Below are 25212 nucleotides of genomic sequence, written 5' to 3'. Positions count from 1 at the left end.
GCTCCATGACAGCACCCAATTGGCAGCTCTATGACTGGACCAGCCTGTCCCAACATGGCCAGGGTCAGACACTGGCAGAGTGGAGGAGGACTGGGCCCAGCCTATATGTCATCTGGATCAACTTGTCATATGTTGGGCTCATAGGCTCAAGCATCATCTCTACATTGCCGGTTTGCCTCTTCCCTCCTGTCATTTTTAAATCTCTTATCCCGTTGTCATAAATTTCTTCAAGCACCTTAAACATACTTATTTTATTATTTTCTTTCTGATAATTGCAGCATCTGAAGACTTTGTAGGTCTGACTTGGATATCTTCTGATGTTGCTGATTGTATTTCCTTGTGATTTTAGTATTGTGGACTGTAGGCTTCTTGCTTTGCTTGTTTGTTTGCTTTTTAAGAACTTGATTTACGGGAGTAATTTGAGGACTGAGTTAAAAGTGCCTTCTTCCAAGAAAGATTTGTGTTTGTCTCTAACACAAGCCTGAGATCGCTACCAGCCCTTAACAACATCAAATTGATGGTTTTAGAGCAATACAGCTAGTATGAATTTGGGACACAAACCCACATGAGGACCTACTTGTGATTATTAAAGGACATTTTTCCCCCTTCATCCAGTATCAAGGTCAAGGCAAGCCAGTTCCTCATTGTCCTTTATTGTAAGGTGGATTTTTTTTCTAGGTCGTGGTTATATTGAAGGTATAGCCATTTAGGGATTCCAACTTTTTGCCGGATTTTGTCATTGTGATATATTAAGAAGTATATATTTGGTCATCCTTTCCAGTTCCCATTCCTAGCACAGAGCTCCTTGGAACTTCCTGAGTGATAGGAGTGTCTTTTGTTATTCATAATGGGCCCCTTTCCACCAAACCTGAGTTGATGTTAATGAAGTCACTCTTAGATGCCTCAGGATGGAGGCTGGTTGCCAGAGAAGCCAGTCCCATTATTAGAGGGTTGAAACTTTCAGCCCTGCTTCCCTGACCTTGGGGAGGGGAGAGAGACAGGAAATTGAGTTCAGTCACCAGTGACGAGTGATTTATTTAATCGGTCATGCCTCTGTAATGAAACTTCAGTGAAACCTCTTGAAAAATTAGGTTTGGGGCATTTCTGGGTTGGTGAACACATTTTCATGCTGGGAGGGTGGCCACCGCGACTCCACGGAAACAGAGTTTCCTGAACTCTGGGCCCTTCTGGACCTTGCCCTATGTCTGTCTCCATCTGGCTATTCATTTATATCCTTTGTAATAAAGTGTAGTATAAGTTCCTGAGTTCTTAACTGTTGTTCCAGAAAATTATGAACCTGAGTTGGGGTGATGGGAACCCTAGAATTTGTAATCAGCCAGGCAGAAGTGTGAGTACCCTAGGGACTCCGTATGTAGTTGGTGTTTGAAGTAGGGAACAGTCTTACGGGACTGAGTCCTCAACTTATGGAGTCTGTGCTGTCACCTGATAGTGTCAGAATTGAATACAATTGTGTGACACCTAGTTGATGTCAGAGAATTGGAGAATTGATTGTTGTTTGAAAGACCAGTCCCTCGACTCCCTCCTTTGGGTAGGCCTAGGCTTTCTCTCCCCAACTCTGCCCTGTATGGGCATCAAAATGGAAGTTCAGTGTCAGCAAGATCGGTGTCTTAGTCCATTCAGGTTCAGGCTGCTCTATCACAACACTTAGGCTGGGTAATTTGTAAACAACAGAAATTTATTGCTCACAGTTCTGGAGGCTGGGAAGTCAAGATTAAGGCACCAGCAGATTTTGTGTCTGTGAGGACTTGCTCTGCTTCATAGATGACTCTTTCTTGCTGTGTCCTCACATGGCAGAAAGGACACACAAAACTCCTTCAGGCCTTTTTTATAAAGGCACTACTCCCATTCATGAGGGCTCATCTTTTGTGACCTAATTATCTCCTGAAGACCCCACCTCTTAATACTATTGCATTGGCGGTTAGGTTTCAACGTATGAATTTTGGGGGAACCTAACTACTCTGGCCATAGCAGTTGCACATCTGGAGGCCTCATCTTTGGATTTCTTCCCCACATTCCCATTTCACTTTTTTGACCTCAGAAGAGTTTTCCCTGATGTTCTTGCAAGCTCATGGTGTGTTTAAGATGTTTTTATTTGTTTTGGTTTTACTTTATCTAGCATTTTTAGTAATTTTGTAGCAGGATGGTTGTATCTGGCCTGCCATATTTTTCCATCACTTATTGATTATTTATTTTTGGCTTGCATTGTTTAGGACTATCTGTATTTCTGGTTTTAAGTCCATTTAAAATACTTCTGCAAGATGGCATGTATGGAAATAAAAGGCAATGAAAATAACTTACCGGGGAATTTTGACATGTTCCCCAATACCTTCATAAAATGGGGTGAAAACTTGGATGGTCAGGAAATAGAAAGGAGTATTTAATCTGAGCCTGGCCTGCAAAGATGAGTAGAATTTCCTTAGGTCAACACAAGTGAATGAGACCATACGGGATGAAGACCAGAAAATACTTTGAACTGAATTTTAATGAAAACTCAACATATCAAATTATGTAAAATGTAGCTAAAGTAGTGCTAAGCTGGAAAATATTGGAACCCACTGTGTGTATTGTGCTAGAAGGTTTACTTGTTTCGTATTCCCAATTTACAACTAAAGCCAGAGAGATGAAGTAAATTGTCCAGGATTGCTCAACCAGGAGCTGGAATTCAAAGCCAGGTCTGCCTCATTCCAAGCATATGCAGATTATTGTGATGTTTTTACCACCATTTCATCATCTTGAAACCTTTTTTTTTTTTGACAACGTCTTGCTCTGTGTCATCCATGCTGGAGTGCAGTGGCGCAATCACGGCCTACTGCAGCCTTGACCTCCTGGGCTCAAGCAGTCCTCCCGCCTCAACCTCCTGGCTAATTTTTTTTATCTTTTTGTAGAGTGTGCTGGTCTCTCTATGTTGCCCAGGCTGGTCTTGAACTCCTGGCTCAAGCAGTCCCTCTGCCTCGGCCTCCCAAATTGCTGGGATTACAGGTGTGAGCTACTGTGCCTGGCCAACATTCCTATTTTGTTACTTTTTAAGGGGTTAGTGATAGAAACTCATACTGTTTTCCTTCCTAGGAGGAAAAAAGTAAACCAGATGTGAATCTGAAAGATCTCCAGAGTGAAGAAGAGATTGATCATCCACTGATGATTCTAAAAGCAATCTTATTAGAGGTATAGTATGTGTGTGTATGTATTTGTATGTATGGTATGTATTGTGTGTATGTGTGCATGTGTGTATATATGTAAGAATGTATGCGGTTTAATTGCTAGGTGTGATATTATTACCATTCATAGTCTTTCCTTAAGGACATTCTCTGTATCTATATTTTAATGATGTTTGTGGGGATTTTCTGGTTATGAATGAAATACATATTCATGGTAGAAAATTCAAGAAAAAAACAGAAAATATATACAAAAGATAAAAAGTATAAGTAGGCCAGATACTGACAGTTATTGTTAACACTTTGATATATATTCTTTGCATTCTGTTTTCTTTATGTTTATATATGTATATTGGAATTGGGTTATGACTTTTTTGGCTATTATTGTCATTTTAAACCAAATTGAGCTTTACTAAATGCTGTTTTGCAATTTATTGCATTTCCATATTATCCTTTTAATGTCTATGTGACCTGAAAGTGTGTCCCCTTTTTCATTCCTAGCACTCACTGATAATATCTCAAGTAGATGACTTTTAAAGTTTGTTTAATATGCTGTTTTAAAGATGTGAGGTCTTCTTTCATTTATTCATTCATCCTTAATAAATGATTTGTTATAATTCCTGCTAGGGACCTGGGTCGAGTACTTTAATTATATTGATCTATGACTATTGTATGAATTTACTAGGGCTGCCATGACAAAATGCCACAGACTGCATGGCTTAGATGATAGAAATGTATTTTCTGACAGTTTTGAAGGCTGGAAGTCCAAGATTAAGGTGTTGGCAGTTTTGGTTTCTTCTGAGGCCTCTCTCCTTGGCTTGCAGATGGCCGTCTTCTTCCTGTGTCCTCACATGGTGTTTCTTCTGTGTGTGTGCTTCCCTGGTGTCACTTTGTCCAAACTTCGTCTTCTTATGATAATGCCAATCAGATTTACTTAGGGCCTACTCTAAAATGGAAAACAGCCTCGTTTTACCTTAATCACCTCTTTAAAGGTCTAATCTCCAAATGTGGTCACATTCTGAAATATTGTAGGTTAGGAATTCAACATATGAATTTTGGGGAGATACAATTCAGTCTGTCACCGCTACATCTCACCCCCTTTTAGAACTTGTTTATACTTCAAAACATTTAGATAAGACATTAATCATCTTTGTTTTTGTACTTACGTATCTCTTCCAAAATTCTTGTTTAATATCAGTAATTTACACATTTAAATGGAAAATTCCTTTTTAATGTTGGGAATTTACGAAACCTTGAGCTACTTTTGATATTGCTCTTCAAATGGAAGATGGCACATGGAAAATGGCAAAAATCCAAGTTTTCTCAACTGAGGCTTAACCAGTTTTTAAAAAACTTTTTATAATAAAATAATTATGATGGAATCAACTTACGTGTTTGCTGTTCTAGGCATATTTAATTAGGTATAATCCTGTTGGTCTCTTTGAATTTGTTAAGTATGCAATTATTTCTCATCAGATTTTCTTGAGTGACTGTGTTTCTCTCATAAGGAGGAGAATAATCTAATTCCTGTTGATCAGCTGGGCCAGAAACTTTTGAAAAAGATAGGAATATCTTGGAACAAGAAGTACAGAAAACAGCATGGACCACTGCGGAAGGTAATACATGGCATCGTTTTGGGAAGTCCTAGTCCCAAGAAATTTCATTATGATCGCAACAACATGAATTCCTTTGCAGAAGGATATTTAAAATAGGTGAAAATAAAATCACCGTATTTGTATAATGGCTAGAATCCTACTAAGTTACTTATTAAGTATTACTTACTGAGTTATTTATCATAGAAACAAGAAGTAAGCAAAAATAGTGGGGAGTGACTCCTAAAAAATGTCAGAGTTCATCCCCTAAAGCTTATCATTTTACTTAGAGAAATGTCTTCAGGTATTCACCCAGATTTCACTTGATTTTTTACACAAAATTCTAGTAAGGGAATTTGCCTTTTTATCTATGGTATCAAATTTATTGGCATAAACTTGTTCAAAATATCTCATTATCCTTTTAGTGTCTGTAGAACCTGAAGCTATGTTCCATTTTCATTTCTGATATTAATAATTTTTATTTTCTCACCTTTTTTCATCAGTGTTGCTTGGGGGTTATCAAGTTTTTTTTTGGTTTGTTTTTTGTTTTTTTTTTTTTTTTGAGTTGAGGTCCACTCTGTCGCCCAGGCTGGAGTGCAGCGGCACGACCTCAGCTCACTGCAACCTCCACCTCCCAGGCTCCAGTGATTCTCCTGCCTCAGCCTCCTGAGTAGCTGGGACTACAGGCATGTGACACTGCACCTAGCTAATTTTTGTAGAGACAGGGTTTTGCCATGTCACCCAGGCTGGTCTCAAACTCCTGGACTCAAGTGATCTGCCTGGCCATCAAGTTAATTTTTTCCTTTTCAAGAAACCAGCTTTTGCCTTAGATATAATTTGATGCAATGCTATTGATTTTCTCTATTGCTTTTCTATTTTCTATTTCACTGATATCTGTTCTTATTTTAAAGTATTTTCTTCTACTTCTTGGGACTTAATTTGATCATCTTTTTCTAGCTACTTGGGTTGGTAACTCAGTTTTTTTTTTAAACCTTCTAATACTTTTAAAGCTATAAATTTTCTTCCAAGCACTAGTTATATTCAACAAATTATATTGTTGATTATAGTTATATTGTTGAATATAGTCAGTTATATTCAACAAGCTTTCATTTTCATTCAGTTTGAAATATTTTCTAATTTCTCTTATTTTTTCTTTGGCTCTTGAGTTCTTTGGAGGTGTGTTGGTCAATTTCCAAATATTTAGGGGGTTTCTAGTTATCTTTTTGTTATGTCAGTAAATTGATTTCTAATTAATTTCATTGTACTTTGAGAACATACTCTATATGAGTTCAGTTCTTTTGAATTTCTTAGGACTTGTTTTACGGTTCAGAGTGTTGTCTATCCTGCTCAATGTTCTGTGTTCACTAAAGAGGTTGTTTTCTGCAGTTATTGGATGTAGCATTTCACAAGTGACAACTAGGTCAAATTGATTGTGTTCTTTGTTTCTTCTCTATTCTTCTTATTTTTTTTTTTGCCTTTTCTATTAATTACTGAGGAATTTTTAAATCTCCCAACTATAATTGTGGATTTGTCTCATTTTTTTAAAAAAAAGTTTTGACAGTTTTTGCTTCATGTATCTTCTGGAAGCTATATTATTAGGTACATACACATTTAGGATTGTTATTGCCTCCTGGCGTGAAATGCTTGCCTTTTTTTTGAGACAGAGTTTTGCTCTGTCACTCAGACTGAAGCGTAGGAGCACAGTCACAGCCCACTGCAGCCTTGACCTCCTGGGCCCACGTGATCCTCCTAGCTCAACCTCCTGAGTAGTTGCGACCACAGGCACACCTGGCCACACCTGGCTATGTGTTCTTTTTTTTATTTTTCATTTTGTAGAGATGGTGTCTCCGTATGTTGCCCAGGCTGGTCTTGAACTTCTGGGCTCAAGAGATCCTCCCACCTTGGCCTCCCAAAGTGCTGGGATTATAGGCATGAGCCACCACACCAGAAATGCTTGTCTTTATCTCTGCTAATATCCCTTGCCTTGAAATCTACCTTGTCTGGTATTAATGTAGCCATATAAGCTTTCTTATACATGTGTGTCTCAGTATGAAGTTGGATCTTGTTTATTTTGGAAAATTATGGTTTTTAAGGAATTTGTTCATTTATCTGAGGTGTCAAATTTGTTGGCATAAAGTTGTTTAAAATCTCACCTTATTATCCGTTTAGTGACTGTAGAATATGAACTTATGATTCCTTTTTCATTTCTGATATTGATAATTTGTCTTTTTTTAGCTTTCTTTTTCATTGCTGGGGTTTATCAAGTTTATTAAACTTTTCAAGAAAACGACTTTGCCTGTGTTGATTTTCTCTGCTCTTCTGTTTTCTGTCAAATGACAGAGAGTTTGACAGTCTCTTCCTTTTTATTAGAATGTTTAGTTATTTACATTAATATAATTGATATGGCTGTGTTTGAATCTCTCATCTTGCTATTTGTTTTCTATTTCTCCTCTATTCTTTATTTTCTTTTTCCTTTCCTGCCTTCTTTTGGATTAATAAATTTTTAGTGTCCCATTTTTAGCTCTTTTGTTGGCTTTTTAATCTATTTAATTTCATCTAGCGATTACACTATATATAAATTAACATGATAAATTACAAATTAATAGTATACCACTTTATGTATACTGTAAGATGCTTACAATAGTATAATTTCATTTTCCCATTCCCATTTTTCCTACTATTGCCTTCTTATATTTTACCATTACATGTAATGTAAATTACACTATATGTTACTACTTCTGCTTAAACACTTTAGTGACTTTTAAAGAAATTAAGGAAAGAATAGTGTTTCGTATTTATCTTTTCTGGAGTTTACTGCTCGTTATTTATCCAGGTTTGCATTTAATATCATTTCCCTTCAACCTAGAGAGTTTCCTTTAGCATTTCTTGAAGTTCAGAATTGCAGGTGAAAAATGCTTTCAGATTTTGTCTGAAAATATTTATTTTACCTCCATTTTTTAGTGATATTTTTGATAGATACAGAATTATAAGTTAATCATTTTTGTGTTTTTCTCAGTGTTTTAAAGAGGCCCATTGTGTTCTGGCTTCCAGTATGTTGGATGAGAAGCCAACTGTCATTTTTTATTTCATTCTCTTGAATGTAATGTTTCTTTTTCTTGGTCTACTTTTAAGATTTTCTTTTTATCTTTGGTTTTCAGCAGTTTGACAATAATGTATTTAGGTATTGTGTTCCTTGTGTTTATTTACATTCTATTGCTAAGTATTTTTAATATCTGTGGTCCAAAGTCTTTTTTAAAATTTTGGAAAAATTTTGGCCATTATTTCTTCAATTTCTTTTTCTGCCTCATCTCTCTTTCTTTTTCTGGGAGTCTAACTATATCCTTCCATATCTATGGGGGATTGGTTCTAGAATCCCCAGATGACACCCACATCTGCAGATGCTCAAGTCTCTTTCATGAAATGGCATAGTATTTGCATATGGCCTAGTCACATCCTCCTCTATTCTTTAAACTATCACTAGATTACGTATAATACCTAACATAGCCTGGACGTGGTGGCTCACACCTGTAATCCCAGCAAAAGGGAGGTCTAGGCAAGAGGATTGCTTGAGCCCAGGAGTTTAAGACCAGTCCTGGCAACATAGCAAGACCCCATCTGTACAAAAAATTTAAAAATTAGCTGGATGCGGTGGTGCGCACATGTAATCCCAGCTATTTGGGAAGCTGGGGTGGAGGATTGCTTAAGCCCAAGAGTCTGAGGCTGCAGTGAGCTATGATCATGCACTGCACTGCAGACTGGGCAACAGGATGAGACCCTGTCTCCAAAAGAAAAAAAAGGAAACAAAAAAACCTAATACAATATAAATGCTATGTAAATAGTTGTACTGTATTTTTAAGTTTTTATTATTTTTCACTATTATACTGTTGTTTATTTATTTTAATGTTTTTGATTCATGGTTGGTTGAATCTGTGGATTTGGAAACTGCAGATACTGAGGACCAACTGTATGTATTCGACCATTTGATATGTCCTCTCAGGTCTTGGATGTTCTGGGGGCTTTTGTTTTGTTTTGTTTGAGACAGGATCTCACTCTGTTGCCCAGGCTGAAGTGAAGTGGCACAATCTCAGCTCACTGCAATCTCTGCCTCCCAGGCTCAAGCAGTCCTCCAGCCTCAGCCTCCCGAGTAGCTGAGATTACTGGCATGTTTCACCATACCCAGCTAATTCTTTGTATTTTTTTGTAGAGATGAGGGTTTTGCCATGTTGGCCAGACTGGTGTTTTGTTCTTTAATTTTTTTCTTTTCCTACTTCAATTTGGACAATTTCCAGAGATCTGTCCTCAGCTTTGCTAATTTTTTCTTCCACTGAGCCACTCTTCTGTTAAGACCAACAAATGAGCTATACGTTTCAGATATTATACTTTTTAGTTGTAGTCTTTCCACTTAGCTCTTATTTAAAGTGTACATTTCTTTGCTGAAATTCCCCTTCTCTTTACCCATTCTATTCATCTTTTCCTTTAAATTCTTTAACATATTTATAATAGCTGTTTGCTATTATAGTAGCTAGATTAATTCTGAATTTGATTCTGTTGACTCTTTTATTCTCTTTTGAATTGACCATTCCATCTGTTGATTATGAATAACATTGTCCTGTTTCTTTGCATGTCATATAATCTTTTCAATATAAATTTTTATTTTTTAATTACAAATTGATAAATTTTAGTTGTATATATTTATAAGGGTACAGATTGATGTTTTAATTTGCAAATACAATACAGAAAAATCTAATGAACATATCCATCATCTCAAATACTTATTTTTTGTGGTGAAGTTTATTCTCAGCAATTTTGAAATGTACAGTATGTTATTATTTTCTGTATTTACCATACTGTGCAATAGATTTTTTAAGAAAAACAACTTATTCCTACCATTGAATTGAGGCTTTGTATCCTTTGACCATCATCTCCCCATGTCTTGCCCCCCTGCTCCATATAATCTCATATTGTGGATGATGTGTTGTGGAGAGTCTAGATTATGTTATTTTTCTCTGAAGAGCTTTGCATTGCATTCTAACAAGCCCTCAAATTACCTTTGAGTCTTTTAGATTCTGTGGAAGTTAAATTTTGGGCTTTAGGGTGGGTCTGTTACAATTTTGGCTTTAGTTCCAGGGAATAGCTTAGCCCTGGGTCATGGTCCTTCCTCTTACAGTAGGGCTCAGCTAACTATGGCCTGTGGGCAAAATGTGGCCTGCTGCCTGTTCTTATAGTCTTGAGCTAAGAACATGCCTTACATTTTTAAATGGTTACTTTTTAAAAGGTGAAGTGAGTACTAAGTAATGTTCTCAGTTTTGCTTCTAAAATATTTACCATCTGGCTCTTTAAGAAAAAGTTTGCTATCTCTTTCTAATTTGGTAGGACTTGAACTCCTTGTTCTTTCTTCTTGGCATCAGGCAGCCCTGCTCAGATATTGAACCTCCTAACTGATACTCTCTGCTGGGCTCTTTGAGCTGTCCATTCTACCATTTAGGAGTTAGCCAAGGATTTAGGGGGATTTGTTACAGAATTGGGGCTCCTTCGTGGGATCTCGCCTCTCTGGTATTCTCAGATTCTGTCCCCTCATCCCAGTAAGACTCTTGCCTTTTCTTGAAATCTGTTCCATCATGCACTGCTACAAACTGGGTAGTAGGTAGGTGAGTGCAGAACTCACCTGGTTTGCTTCCCTTCTTTGAAGTATTATATCTTCACTTTATGCCTACTTTGGGTTCCTTTCCCAACAGTTGTTTTCCTTTTTTGCCTAGAGTTTATCATTTTTATTAGGAAGATTAGTCTAAGAAAATTTCTTTGTCATTAATGGGACTAGACTGCACTGATGTTTGAGGCTTAAAAGAGTTAATTCTCAACTATCAAACAAAGAAAAACGTGGCTATATAGAAAGTTCATTACTTAAAAACCCAAAGAACAAAAAATGAAAAGAAAGTTCATTACTCAAAGCTTTCAAGTTGTTGATACTTTTTTGTACCTTAAACAAACTAGCTGCAAGGCTGTTTTACCCTCTGTTCTCATACACAATGTTAACAATGTTGTCTTTGGGTTATGCCCTACACTCTTCTGTTTGTTGATAAAATAATACTTTTGATTCTCAGAGAGTTGACATTACCACAAATTACTTTCTTTCCAAGAGAAAAATTAGCAAATCACCTTTCCAGGGTGATTGATGAAGTACCCAAGTGTCAAATTTAACTCCCAAGTAATTTTCTATATAAAGTAAATTAGGCTGAGAGAAAAGAAAGAGACTCAAGGCCAGACAGAGGTTAAAGAGTGAGAGGATAGGGGCGTAGTGGATGGGGAGGTAGAGACAGGCAATGGAGAAAGAAATTTTTTTCTTCTTAATCCTTTAGCAAGAACTTTGGGATTGTGACTTAACCCTTACTATGCTTTGATTTTCTGAGCTTGTCTGCCAGCTTTTAGAACAGACAACATTCACTTTAGTCCAGGTTAAAAGATAATTTAGGTTGATAATTACTACCTTATCCCAACAGAGTCTGTCTGGGTTTTCAAATTATCTTTTATGGTGGTACACTGTGTGATTGCCTTTGTTTTGTGCCTTGTTTAGATTGCTTTTAAATATTTCAAAAGTGTTTGTTCTACCTAATCTGTTCCAGTTAAATACTTTTTTAAACAGCACTAGTGAGGTGTAATCAAAATGCTTTTTAGATTGTGGCATAGCGACCTCCTCCCTGGATGTCACTATCAGACTATTTAACAGAGCACTGTGGTTTTATTAAATGTTTTATGATACCTAGATGGATTTTCCCCCGTAGCTGGCCAGGTCAGAAATAAAGATGAAGTTAAATGATCTAATCACAGAAAGGAAGAAAACATTTTTTAATCACATCTAATTTTTGTTTAAATAATTAACTTAGCATTTTTTTTTTTGTTTCTGTGTAGTTCTTACAGCTCCATTCTCAGATATTTCTACTCAGTTCAGATGAAAGTACAGTTCGTCTCTTGAAGAATAGTTCTCTCCAGGCTGAGTCTGATTTCCAAAGGAATGACCAGCAAATTTTCAAGATGCTTCCTCCAGAATCCCCAGGTTTAAACAATAGCATCTCCTGTCCCCACTGGTTTGATATAAATGATTCTAAAGTCCAGCCAATCAGGGAAAAGGATATTGAACAGCAATTTCAGGGTAAAGAAAGTGCCTACATGTTGTTTTATCGGAAATCCCAGTTGCAGAGACCCCCTGAAGGTATGGAAAGAAAAATGTTCCTATTTGTTTCAGTTAATGGCTTTAGAAGATAAACATGGAATGCTGTTTGAATTTTTATTCTTTTAAAAAAAGGTTTACTCTTGGAACATTTTTAAATATTTTAAAGCTAACAAGAACTATATTATGCCAAATGAAATCTAACAATTTGTCATTTTATAAAGATTATATACTTCTCTTTAATTTTCTACCCTGTAATAATGTAAGATCATCATTACATTTTCAAAATTGGATTTCCTTGGATAGCATAAAACCTTCTTGTGTTGGCAAACTTGAGTGCGATTGCCATATGCTCAGACTTGGCTCTGTCATTCAGCCATATGTTGCCTTTGAATTTTAAGTGGCCCTGGTCTTATTTTTATATCTTCTCCTTTATTTTCCTGATTCTTTTATATCTTCTCCTTTATTTTCTGCTTATTTATATCTTTTATTTCTATTATTTATCCTTTATTTATATCTTTTCATATCTTCTCCTTTATTTTCCTGTTTCTCAATAAGACTTTTTGTTTATTTATTCATTTATTTATTTTTAGAGATGCAGCCTCACTCTCTCGTCCAGGCTGGAGTGCAGTGGCATGATTGTTCACTGCAGCCTCTAATTCCTGGGCTCAAGTGATTCTCTTCCCTTAGTAGCTAGGCCTACAAGTACATGCTGCCACACCTGGCTAATTTTTTCATTTTTTTAGAGACAGGGTCTCGCTGTATTGCCCAGGTTGGTCTTGAACTCCTGGCCTCAGATGATGCTCACACCTCAGCCTCCCAAAATGCTGGTGTCATCGGTAGAGGGTCATGAGTGCAAGTTGTCCAGGTTCTTGGCATTTCGAACAAAGAATTAGACAAAACGCCCAGCAAAGCAAAGAATGAAGCAACAAAAGACCAAAAGCAGAGATGTATGGAAAACAAAAGTACACTCCACAGTGTGGAAGCAGCCTGAGCAGCAGCTCAAGGGCCCAGATACAGAATCTTCTCCGGTCCAAATATCCCCTAGAAGTTTCCCATTGGCCACTTCATGCTCACCTCATGTAAATGAATTGGGAGCCCGCCATCAGTCTGATTGGTTGCAGAAAGCAGCCAACCAGAGGCTGAAGTGAAGTTACAAAGGTCACTATCATGTGCAAACATCTGATTGGTTGCAGAAAGCAACCAATCAGAGGCTAGGTTGAAGTTACAACGTTACACTTATTTGCAAACGAAGACATAGCTGGCAATCAGTCTGATTGGCTGCAGGCAACACCCATTCAGAGGCTGGAGTGAAGTTGCAAAGATGCAAACGAAGACCCTACCAGCAATCAGTCTGATTTGTTGCTCAGTCTTATTTGTTGCCAACAGCAACCATTCAGAGGCTGAAATGGTTACAGAGTTGCAAACGAAGACTCCACCCACTGTCTGATTCGTTGGGGTCAGCCAATTTCCTATGTGTGCGCAGAAAAGGTCAAAGGAAGTAGCCTCTGGTCCTTGTGTTACTTAGGAATGGAAAGTTAGGGTGTTCCTTTCAATTTAGTTCTAGGAAGTCGGTGTGAAACAGCCTTAGGTTCCCTGTCTCCAGACCCTATTCTCCTGCCTCACTGGGATTACAGGCATGAGGCCTAGTAAGATTTTTCGATCACTTCTCAAAGTCCGCTCAAAAGTTAAAAACCCCAGTGAGAAAAGCTTTATAGATTGAGACATATCTATTATTAGAGATGAGAATATTGTTCTTAGAGAATGAGAATAACCATCATTTTTATGAAGAATAAGAATAAAGCAGTTACTAATTTGCATGTGAATCAAAGGAAATTAACTTTCCAGATCTAAAACAGTTACATAACTATGCTGTTAATGAAAAAGGCTTTGTATTTTTCTGGGAGGAAAAAAAGATATGGAAATGGTTCTGGTAAAAATATTGTGTATCAGAATTCACAGTTATAGAAATATATACTATCAGAAAAAGAATATCTTCAAATGGAGTATTAGTCTTTTTCACAGAATTGAATTTTAGTGTGTACGTAATTGGAATATGTAAATGACAGTTTTCTTGTTAGCTTAGGAATTGAACAAAGATCCAACAAAAAATCTAGGTGTACTTTTTTGGGAATGAAGGGATAGAATTTATAAAATGATTCTAAAATTCACCTGGAGAAATAAAGTAATAAAAACTGAAGAAGAGAAGACTGAGGGAGAATTTGCTGTATCAGTAAAAACATATTTATAAAGTTATAGCAATGAAGACAGTGTAGTGGTAATGCAAAAAGGTAGACAGATCATTGAAAAAGAGCAGTAAACCCAGGAGTTGATCTAAGCATATTTGTGTTTTAATCCGTGGTAAGGTAGCTCTTCAGATATTTTGGGGAAGGAAGGGAGTGAATTACTCAATAAATACAACTGGGAAGTTGGTTATTTGCTAGGGAAATAACTAAGCCATTTTTCTTTGTTATACAAATCACTTAAATGAAATTATAGTTCCTTTAATATTTATGTAAAAAAGGAATCGTAAAATGTGTAAAATATAAATATTTGATCTTAAGGTAAAGAAAACCTTTCTAAGCATAAAAGCAAAGAAAGAAAAAACTAGGGCAAAGTGATATAACCCTTAAAACAGAATTAAAAGGCAAATGACAAGCTAATGGAAAACAGTAAAATATATGACAAATTAATTTCCCCTATCTGTAGAGTGCGCTTACATATATTTCATTGTGCTCAGTAGTAAATTGGGGAAATGATATAAATAAGCAATTTACAAAAAGAAGATTCCTGTGTTTCAAAAAATTTTCAATTTAACCTGTAATCAAAAAGAAGAAGAAGAATGGCAATGAGATGAACATTAGTGAGATGCCCCACCAAATCAGATACTATTTCTGTGACTCTTGGGTTTCAACAGGTGACATTTCCTCCAGAGCTGGTAGGTATGGAATACAATCAGTTTGAGTATGTGTATTTAAAAGCCTTGAAACTGTCATACCGTTTAAACCAGTAATTCTACTTTCACAAGTTTGTCTTAAAGTAATCAGAGCTGTATATGAATGTTGATGCTCAAAGATGTTTATTGTTCCTACTATTTTAAAATAGTGATTAATTGGAAATCACCTTAATGTCTAACAGAAAAAGATTGGTTAGGTTAATTATGCTCCTTATAGAATGGACTACTATGTAATCATTTATTTAAGACTTTGGAAAATACAGTGTATGAAATGAAAATAGATTTGTTGAATATTATCCCAGTTTTTAAAATTGTGTGTGTTTGTGTGTGTGCCTGTGTGTGTGTGTGTGTGTGTGTGTCTTGGGAGTGAAATTATGAGCAGTATCTATTTCTTTTACACTTAAAAAAATTCCAGAATTTTTACAGTAGTCATTTATTGTATTTGTAATCAAGATGAAAATCTGAGGCCAGGCGTGGTGGCTTATGCCTTTAATCTCAGCACTTTGGGAGGCTGAGGCGGGCAGATCACTTGAGGCCAGGAGTTCAAAACCAGCCTGGGCAACATGGCGAAACCCTGTCTCTGCTAAAAATACAAAAATTAGCCAGGCGTGGTGGCAGGAGCCTGTAATCCCAGCTACTCAGAGGCTGAGGCACGAGAATTGCTTGAACCTGGGAGGCAGAGTGAGCTAAGATTGCGCCACTGCACTCCAGCCTGGGCGACAAAGTGAGACTCCGTCTCAAAAAAAAAAAGAAAAAGAAAAAGAAAAAAAAAAGATGAAAATCTGGGTGTTCTTTTTAAAAAGTATACTTAAAAGAGTTGAAAAAATGGAATTCTTCTAGCTTGTCTTAAAGAAATGTTTACTTTTCATTTGTTCTAACTTTTTCATTTTTCAGATGGGAAAACTGAGATCCTGAGAAAATTCGTATTCACACAGCTAATTAGTAGCAGCTTTCCTAGCTCCTAGGACAGTCCTTCCTAGTCTTCATGCTACCTCTTCCAGCAACCAGATTTCATTTAGCCAACACAAGTTAATGAAAAATTTTGTTCACAGCTCGAGCTAATCCAAGATATGGGGTTCCATGTCATTTACTGAATGAAATGGATGCAGCTAACATTGAACTGCAAACCAAAAGGTAATTTTAAATTGCTTTTAGAGTTTGACTAGTATTCCGGAGAATAAAGATCTGATTTAGGCCTTAAGCATTCAGTAATGAAAATTAAAAAGAAAAAAAATAGTCAACTTGTTAATGCAAGTGTCTGTTTGGCTGCTGAATTTTTATAGTGAGGGTAACTTTAACTCTGAAATTATCCCTTATGTGTGAGAGTGAATTAAATGGTGACATATAAAACAGCCATTGCTAAGTAGGGATCGAAGCCTAACAAGAGTAGAGAAATCAGTGAGCACATAGTTGGGCTGAATGAATTGTATCCTGGCCTGGCCAGATTATTTCCTTGGGTCCAAAGAGAGCCTGCCATGAAAATCACCCCTCATAGGTAAGTAGTTGTAGCGAACTGGCATGTAGTGAGAGAGGATCAGTGGTGGGCAGATTTTCAAAAGGAGGGAAATATGGATGCTATAACCTATTGAATGCAATGCTGATCTTGGGGGAAAGCCTATGATGGATTCTTACTTAAAGAGATGGTTTGTGAGAACTTTATGATCTCAGCATTCTCTTTTGGGGCCTCACCTTTGACTCTGAACTGCTTCTTTATTTGTGCTCTGTTAGGGTCAATAGGGTATTGGGTTAGGAAAATGGATGTTACCGTGATCTCCTTGTGGACCAAACTGCCTGATTATGTGACAGGGTGTATTTGACATTTTTATCATTGGCTTGGAGCTGGGGGAAAAAAGTACAGTGAATGACACGAGCAAAGAAACAACAAAAACCAAGATACCAAAAAGATTAAAACTTAACAGAGCGAAATATCTTAAGTCTAAAAAATAACCTGCATAAGTGGTCTGGACTAGCAGTTGTTATTTTAAAAAAATAAAAATAAAAAAATAAAAGGCAGAGCCTGAGGGGCTGTCATCAACCCGCACTAAGGTCTTTCGTGTGGTTGTGCTCTCTGACCATGTTCATTGAAGTGTCCTGAAGTACGTGAGTTGCGTGATAAGCCTCATTCCAGCTCCACATTGGTCAGACCCTACCTGTGTTTCGCACTGGCTTCGAGTCAGCCAAGTGGATTCAGAGAAGAGCAGCCAACACCAGGCTGCTGCCAAGGACTTTTAGCCTGGATAATGTGGTCTCGGGAGGTTCATGCTACTGGCTTCAAATATTTCATGGGGCCGGTCGCAGTGGCTCACGTCTGTAATCCCAGCAATTTAGGAGGCTGAGGCAAATGGATCACCTGAGATCAGGAGTTCAAGACCAGCCTGGTCAACATGGTGAAACCCCATCTCTACCAAAAATACAAAAATTAGCCAGGCATGGTGGCACACACATGTAATCCCAGCTACTCAGGAGGCTGAGGCAGAAGAATCGCTTGAACCTAGGAGGTAGAGGTTGTAGTGAGCCAAGATCGCAGCACTGCACTCCAGCCTTGGCGACAGAGTGAGACTCTGTCTCAAAAAAAAAAAAAAAATCATGGGAGAATGTGCAAAATCTAGTGGAAATAAGGATGATAGATGACATGGAAGTAAATCTGCTACTTAACATAATGATGTAAGCAGGTCTCTAGCATTTTGTTCATAACTATAATATAATCTCAGAATTAGAAGATTTCAAGTGTCAGCCTTTGTTCAGAGAAATGGAGTTAACATTGCAGCCTATGTTAAAACAGTTTTCTCTTGGAATTCATGGTGACAGAACTGAATTTTTGCTATTGACTGAAAAATTAAAGTGACTAATTGTGGCACATAGAAGAAAAATTGTTACTTTGGTGGGATGGAGAACTTTATTGTAAGCCAGATATCTTTGGTTTGAGATAAAACACAGTGTCTGTTATAAAAACACAGTATTTATGTATTTTTGTGCCTCTTTAAAGGGCAGAATGTGATTCTGCAAACAATACTTTTGAATTGCATCTTCACCTGGGCCCTCAGTATCATTTCTTCAATGGGGCTCTGCACCCAGTAGTCTCTCAAACAGAAAGCGTGTGGGATTTGACCTTTGATAAAAGAAAAACTTTAGGAGATCTCCGGCAGTCAATATTTCAGGTAATATCGCCTTACTTCCTCTTAATTCAGACATCGAGCACCATCTCCAGCTAGACTCTCCATTTCATTCTGTTTAGGATACAACTTTATTTTTCAAAGCTGCTTAGGAAGATCTGACATCTGCCACTTCATAGAGGGTTGACCCAAATCTTCTCTCCTAAGTCTTTTAGAGAGGCTTTTCTCCACAGCTCCTACCAGCAGCTTTTCAGGTAGACAATCAGGCCTGGTACATTTTATTTGAGGGGAAGAAAGAGTATAAAGTTGTCTCTTTTTTAGAAAATAAATGAAAGCAAATTGCCTTTCAAAGAGAGTGAAAAGATAAAGATGAGCATGTTGTGTAAAACTGAGAACTGCTGAACAAATAAACGCAACTAACTTTATACCCTGTAGTATAGAACAGTATTTATTAATAATATTCTTAAGTGAAGGAAAGTATCTGCTAGTCTAGAGTAAAAACAGTGCTGTAGTCTCCAAGTCATTTTTCTAGGTATGTTTTAATGATGATAGCAACAGCAGTGTTCTTTATTTTACTTACACTGCTTTCATATAAATCATGTGATTTGGTTCTTTAATCTCATGAAGACACATTAGCCCCATTTTGAAGTTGAGGCAGTGTGATTTAAAGAGACTCAATGTCTTGCCTGTGGTCCTAAATCTAGTTGATGGAGCTGGGACTCTGTCCCTCTTCTCCCTACTCTTCATCTAGGGTTTTTTTCTCCTAATCACCCTCCTGCTCCACACTACTTTCTGATCAAGGAAAAGGGAGATAGAAAATGTTAGCTTTTTTGTGTTTTTTCCCAGAAATTAGTTAAATGAATTTTCTGAAAAATCCTATTACCAAAACTATTAGCTTTCTTTCAATTTTCTTCTGCTAAGAAAAGCAAAGCAATTTCCCTTTTAACCTTAGTTGATTTGAAGTTTTTTAAATACTAGATCAGTGTCAGGATTTCTAAAGTTGTCTAATATTTCTGAACTTTTTCATTAGAAATTTATTTCTGAGCCAATTCTGGCACTGTTGATACAGGCAGATGTGGGAATCTGAACCTAGTCTAGGGGGATATTTTAAATGGAAAGGATCTTATTCACTTTGTAAGTGTGAGGTACACTCCAGTCTGTGTGTTTTGGTGTTTTAAGTGTATATGCCTACTAACTATTCTCTTAGAAGGAAGCCACTGACAAGAGGCTAGAAAACTTAATTCACAGCAAACTAATCACTTGTAAATAAGAAGTTTCTTTTTAAGAAAATACCTTATGGTATTGTAGAGAATGACTAGATAGGAATGACTTTTATGGTGATATTATTTTGGTGACCTTGCCACAGTGCTCAGACTCTCAGATCTAGAAACTTAAAGAGCAAAGCCATGGTAATCTATTAAGTAAACTGGTAATGCACCTTTATAAATTTGCAATGGGAGACATTCCTTTCAAGCAGCTAGAAGATGAGTGTGTGCTAGAGTCAGGGCTACATTTCCCTCAACATTGCTAATTCTGCAAATTAGTCTTGCTCTTTTGAGTAAAAATTCCTAGGCTGACATGCTCATCAACTTGCTTTCTGAGAAAAGTGCTCTTCATATATATTAAGCAGAATTGTTTAGATGGTTGTTGTGCCCTTTGTGTAGGCCAGAATTCTTCACTCAGGAATGGAGGAGATTAGCCGTCTTTGGCTTTGACTAATTTAACAAGTGATGCCTTCTTTTCAAGTTTTCGGTGTTGGGTGGGGGTGAGAGTATTCATTTGCTTGCTCTCTGTGTCATCTTCATATGTGAGTTGGCACAGTAACCTGGAAAGGTGATATGTATATGTCACTTTTCAACATTCTCTTTTCCTTCATTAATATTCTTCAGCTGTTAGAATTTTGGGAAGGAGACATGGTTCTTAGTGTTGCAAAGCTTGTACCAGCAGGACTTCACATTTACCAGTCACTTGGCGGTAAGATAAATATGAAAACATAGCAACTCACTCTATATATCTACATTTTTGTCCGGCTCACCTGCGATTTTCTACTCTTTGTCAGTCCTTCCCCACCTACTACTTTCTTAACTAAGTAGATTATCTTCACACTGTAAGTTTTCCAAAAGAAATAAAATATCCACGTTTTAATGTATCCAGTTTATATAATGTGTGAAATTCTTCTAACATGGAAACATTTTATTTTTTCTGAAATTAAGGCTACCTCTACTAAAATTTCTTGAAAAGCTTTAGAATTTTTTATATTGACACATATTGTTGAACAACATAGTTTCAAACCATCTGAATCATATTTATGTGACTTGATTTTCTGCCCAGTTCTCAGCTTCAGATTTTGTAGTAAAACAAGAAATACTTTGAGAGTTTGAAAGCATTTACTTCCTTTAAATAGCAGGAAAACAATGAGAATTAACAGTAGCGGCAGTAACATCTAATTTGGGCCAAAATCTGTAATAGGTGTTTTATGTTAATTATCTCACTTGATTTTCATAAAATTCTTTTATCTCCATTTCATAAATGAGAAAACTGAAGCTGAGAGACTTGAAGCACACAATACAGCTTGTGTTATGGACATATCGGTGGAGTTGGGACCATTCCATGCTTAAGCCTAACTCCTGTTTCCAATGTCATGTGCCTCAAGTACACTTGACCTTTGGATTATCTCTCTTGTCCTGCCACCATGCTCACAAGCTTTTGTCACAACGTTTTAAAGAAAAATTACAATGAAATAATGTCAATAGAATAAAAATAATTACTACTTTTTAAATTTTCCTTAGTGAAAATACTTTTTCAAACAAATATTTGTCTCAGCTCTTTCTTTAGCTCAGTTGTTTCTGATGGTCATGATGAATGGTCTCACTGGTGATCTCTTTCTAGGGGATGAACTGACACTGTGTGAAACTGAAATTGCTGATGGGGAAGACATCTTTGTGTGGAATGGGGTGGAGGTAAAAAAAATTACTGAAGAAATATTCGTGATAATTTTGGATGTTTTAAAAGTCATCGTAATGGCCGGGCATGGTGGCTCATGCCTGTAATCCCAGCACTTTGGGAGGGCGAGGCAGGCAGATCACCTGAGGTCAGGAATTCAAGACCAGCCTGGCCATCATAGTGAAGCCCCATCTCTATTAAAAATACAAAAATTAGCTAGGCATGGTAGCGTATGCCTGTAATCCCAGTGACTTGGGAGGCTGAGGCAGGCGAATCGCTTGAACCCGGAAAGTGGAGGTTGCTGTGAGCTGAGATTACACCACTGCACTCCAGCCTGGGTGACAGGGCAAGACTCCATCTCAAAAAAAAAGTCATTGTAATGAAATTTTATTCAGCCTATGTGAGGGCAATTAGATATTAGAAAACTACTGAAATGCTTGATAAATGTTAGGGACAATCAGTGCTAGTTGTACGCCAAGGAGACATTTCTTGAGCGCCTCCGTTATACCAGGTTGTGCGTCAGATGCTAGATCAAAGGCCAGTCAGTTGATCTGTGTCCTTTTAGGCCCTCGTCGTGTGAAGAACTGCACCATACGTGCTGGAGTAGGGGGTCTGTGCATAGTGCCTGTGGGAATTTAGAAGAGTGAGAATCTATACTGAGTTGGGGAGTGGGGGTGGTTTGGAGGTAGAGAGTGAATTTTCTATCTCTAGAAGGCGGCCAGGAGCACTTCAGCCACTCTGTGAACTGACCTTGGCCAATCTGGCTTCATCACCACCCATGATAACTCATAAATGTCTATCTCCAGTCTATCATAGATTTCTCCTAAAAAAATAAAAGATAAGAAAGTTTCAAAAGAAAAATCTGAAGTTGTTCCTCTGATGCTTAACAGACATTTGTGAAAATTTTATTTTACTTGGAAAAAATGAGGGTTGTTCTCTAAGAGTAATCTTTTACCATGTTATGTTGACGGTGTTGGCAAATATCAGCTGTACTAATGGTTGTCTTGGTATGATTGCAGGTTGGTGGAGTCCACATTCAAACTGGTATTGACTGCGAACCTCTACTTTTAAATGTTCTTCATCTAGACACAAGCAGTGATGGAGAAAAGTGTTGTCAGGTGATAGAATCTCCACATGTCTTTCCAGCTAATGCAGAAGTGGGCACTGTCCTCACAGCCTTAGCAATCCCAGCAGGTGTCATCTTCATCAACAGTGCTGGATGTCCAGGTGGGGAGGGTTGGACGGCCATCCCCAAGGAAGACATGAGGAAGACGTTCAGGGAGCAAGGGCTCAGAAATGGAAGCTCAATTTTAATTCAGGATTCTCATGATGATAACAGGTAACTCGCTAACAAGAGAAAAAGGATTTCTAAAAGTCATTTTAATTACAGTACCACCCAGCAGAACTCTAAAGCTTTATTTTAGTGACAAGAGTTGAATGTTTCTTTATTTCTAGACATTATGTTCTAAATATTGCATACAGGAATGTTTTAGGTTATGTAACTTAGAGAAAAACATGATTTTTTGTAAAGGGACTTTTTGGTAAATGTGGTGAGAAAATAATATAAGTATCCCTGATTTTCTAGACTGTATAGAGTATCAATTAGTTGGCTGTAATGCAAAAGTTATCAAGTGAATTCTGATTAGTGCCAGTTATAAAACCGAAGGAAATTCTCACAGAGAAAACTGAAAATTTTCCTGAAGAAGGTATTAACATTATGGCTAAATTGTTTCTGGATATTTTGTTTCAGGAGACCCATAAGACAACTCATTGTTTCCTTATAATCCGTTCTGTGACTCTTGAGAACCCAGTTGCCCAAATAGAGCAGTTACGTGGCGAATTACCCCCATGAATCCTGTGGTCACATTTAAAGCTGCATCTCTTTGTCATCTATGTCTGTGACAGTACATTGCTGTAGTCAATGTGTCATACACTGTAACTGCAATATTTCCATATATTGAAGACTTCAAGCTCCCTGTTTTCTCAGTGCTACAGATTTACTTAGATTGCAGGATGTCTGTATCATTATTTATAGTGGCTTTGATGCAGAGAAGCAGAGCACTTGTGGACCGTTTCTTTCGTAGTACACTTACCACTATTACTCTTTTGGACAGGGGTTTTGCAGACATTCCCTACCTTGTTTATAAGAACTGTATTTCCTTTATAAAAGGCAGTATGCATTTATTGGGACTGGGGAAATACAAAAGTGAAGACAGAAGGGACCCAAAACAGTATCCGTCTTCTCAGCATGCAGTGTTAATCACTGTTAGCATTTGGGTGCCTTTCTTTTTAAACCTAATAATGATTATTTTGTAGATAAGTAGTTGTATCCTGCTTTCCATTACCCCTGCCCAACCTTGAGATTTGTAGACTCTTTATAAACTGCCTTGAATGGCTACATAGTAATCTATGTGACATTATAGTTTGCCTAACTGTGCTCCTAGGCAAGTCAGTAGGCTGTAGTGGGACCTTGGGCAAGGTATTTCGTCTTTCTCTGCTCAGTCTTCTTGTCTGTCAAATAGGGATAATAACTAGTGCCAACTTCATAGACTTGAGAGGATTGAAAGAGTTGAGTGCTTACAAAGTACACACAGTAAGTGCTAAATGTTTTAGTTAATATATTACGGTCATTGTCATAATTATCATACAGTTTTTCACTATTTTAAAGTAGTCTTCATGGAGCATCTTGTGCTTCATACTTTGTTTTATTTGGGATTGCTAGCTTAAGGTAGGAGCTCAGAATGGAATAACTGCAATAAAGAGTAGAATGATGTTTCAGAGCTCTAATGTACATTCCCAAAGAGGACTTCGGCAAGCCCATTAATGCTTCTGTGTGAATTAGAAAGAAGGCACCTCTTCAGGACCCTTTACTACTATCTGTGGGAAAATGTTAGAACAAGATACTCTACTGCCGGCTGCAATTATAAAACAAAACTCTATGTAGAAATGCAGTATACAATATATATGCCATGTGTGACACTCCTTAGATGTGGCCCTTTTGTGCAGTGTCAGTCTACAGACTGCACATGGCTGCCCTGTTGTTAAATGAAATCTAGATCCAGTGGGGTAGGCTCCTGGCATAGGTGCTCTTTTAAAGCTCCCCTAGTGATTTGCAGGGTGCAGGCAGAAGCCAGCAACTGTTTACTTACAGAAGTTCTCTGTGAAAAATGTGGCAACAAATTATGTAGGTAAATCAAAGAATATTTGGAGTCATGAATATAGACTCTATAGACTACTGCCTAACATTACCCTGCAAAGGTAGCCCACTTATCATAGAGACGACTCAGTAGAACTTGGTCACCTCTAATTAGTCACATTAAGTGACACATGCAGAGTTTTGGAAGTGATGCCTAAGGAAAGGTATTAATTTCTGATCTTTTCTTTTTACCTACAGCTTGTTGACCAAGGAAGAGAAATGGGTCACTAGTATGAATGAGATTGACTGGCTCCACGTTAAAAATTTATGCCAGTTAGAATCTGAAGAGAAGCAAGTTAAAATATCAGCAACTGTTAACACAGTGAGTAGAATATAATTAAAGGTTGGCTGATAGATTTTCAGTTAACAGAATTTTATTTAGAAAACAATACCTTAATCTTTCAGAACAGTTGTCTCAATAGACTTCAGCTCTTAGGAAGTCAGCTTTTTATTTAACATTTGATTATTGCTTGTTTACCTATGTTAGCCCTTAGCATATTTCAAGAAAATACGTGCCTTTTAAAATTTCCTCCAAAGCCTAGAATTAGAATGTGGGAGTTACTCATTTAGTTAGTTCATGGAATTCTCTGGCTCCCACAAAATGAAATTCTTTGGCTTCCTTGAAAATGCTGTTTTCAAGGGTCTTTTCTGTATTTTTTTTAAGCCAAGTATACATATGTTTTGGTTTTGTGTTGTGGACTTCTGTTTTTTAAATTTATCTTAAATTGTTTTACATTATACTCTGTTTTTCTGTAAAGCCAGGTGTTCTTAAAAGGAACTCTTTCAGTTCTCCATTTGAAGACTAGTTTCGTTAAACACCATCTCAGGAAATACCTTTTTATATTTATGTAGTCTCAATTCATTATGGGTTTTTTTTCTATAACAAGTTGAAACTTACTAGAATGTTGTTTTCTTTTATATAAATATTATAATTTCTTAAAGTGTGTTAATATTTACACTGTATGATGAATACACTAAAGTTCAGAAGATCTAGTACCTTGACCCTAAGTGAGAGACTTTGGTGAAGTCCTTTATGACTCACTCTGTTTCTTCTTTTCACAATGTGGGGTGCTG

The 25212-nt window shown here is 37.1% G+C and overlaps 1 protein-coding gene across 25 annotated transcripts in view; it reads left to right on the top strand.

Annotated features, from left to right (window-relative positions):
- Positions 1-25212, top strand: part of USP40 (ubiquitin specific peptidase 40) — a 91257-nt gene that overhangs the window by 21332 nt on the left and 44713 nt on the right. For 19 of the 25 annotated variants that reach the window (NR_168052.1, NR_168049.1, NR_168051.1 and 16 more), the window contains 9 exons: positions 3088-3183; positions 4682-4789; positions 11672-11972; positions 15939-16020; positions 17873-18044; positions 19889-19973; positions 20889-20959; positions 21962-22281; positions 24337-24460. Coding sequence is in view for 19 of the 25 variants with exons in the window: in NM_001382295.1 (NP_001369224.1) it covers positions 3088-3183; positions 4682-4789; positions 11672-11972; positions 15939-16020; positions 17873-18044; positions 19889-19973; positions 20889-20959; positions 21962-22281; positions 24337-24460 (1359 nt within the window). In the remaining 6 variants the exon portion in view is untranslated. Of the gene's footprint in view, positions 1-2902; positions 3001-3087; positions 3184-4681; positions 4790-11671; positions 11973-15938; positions 16021-17872; positions 18045-19888; positions 19974-20888; positions 20960-21961; positions 22282-24336; positions 24461-25212 lie in introns of those variants that run through there. The other 6 variants (NR_168054.1, XM_017004427.2, NR_168053.1 and 3 more) reach the window with 6 other exon arrangements.

Source organism: Homo sapiens, chromosome 2, assembly GCF_000001405.40.
Source record: "Homo sapiens chromosome 2, GRCh38.p14 Primary Assembly".
NCBI classification, from domain to species: Eukaryota; Metazoa; Chordata; class Mammalia; order Primates; family Hominidae; genus Homo; species Homo sapiens.
The sequence above is the reverse complement of the archived record's forward strand: the minus strand, read 5'-3'. Positions and strand labels throughout refer to the sequence as shown.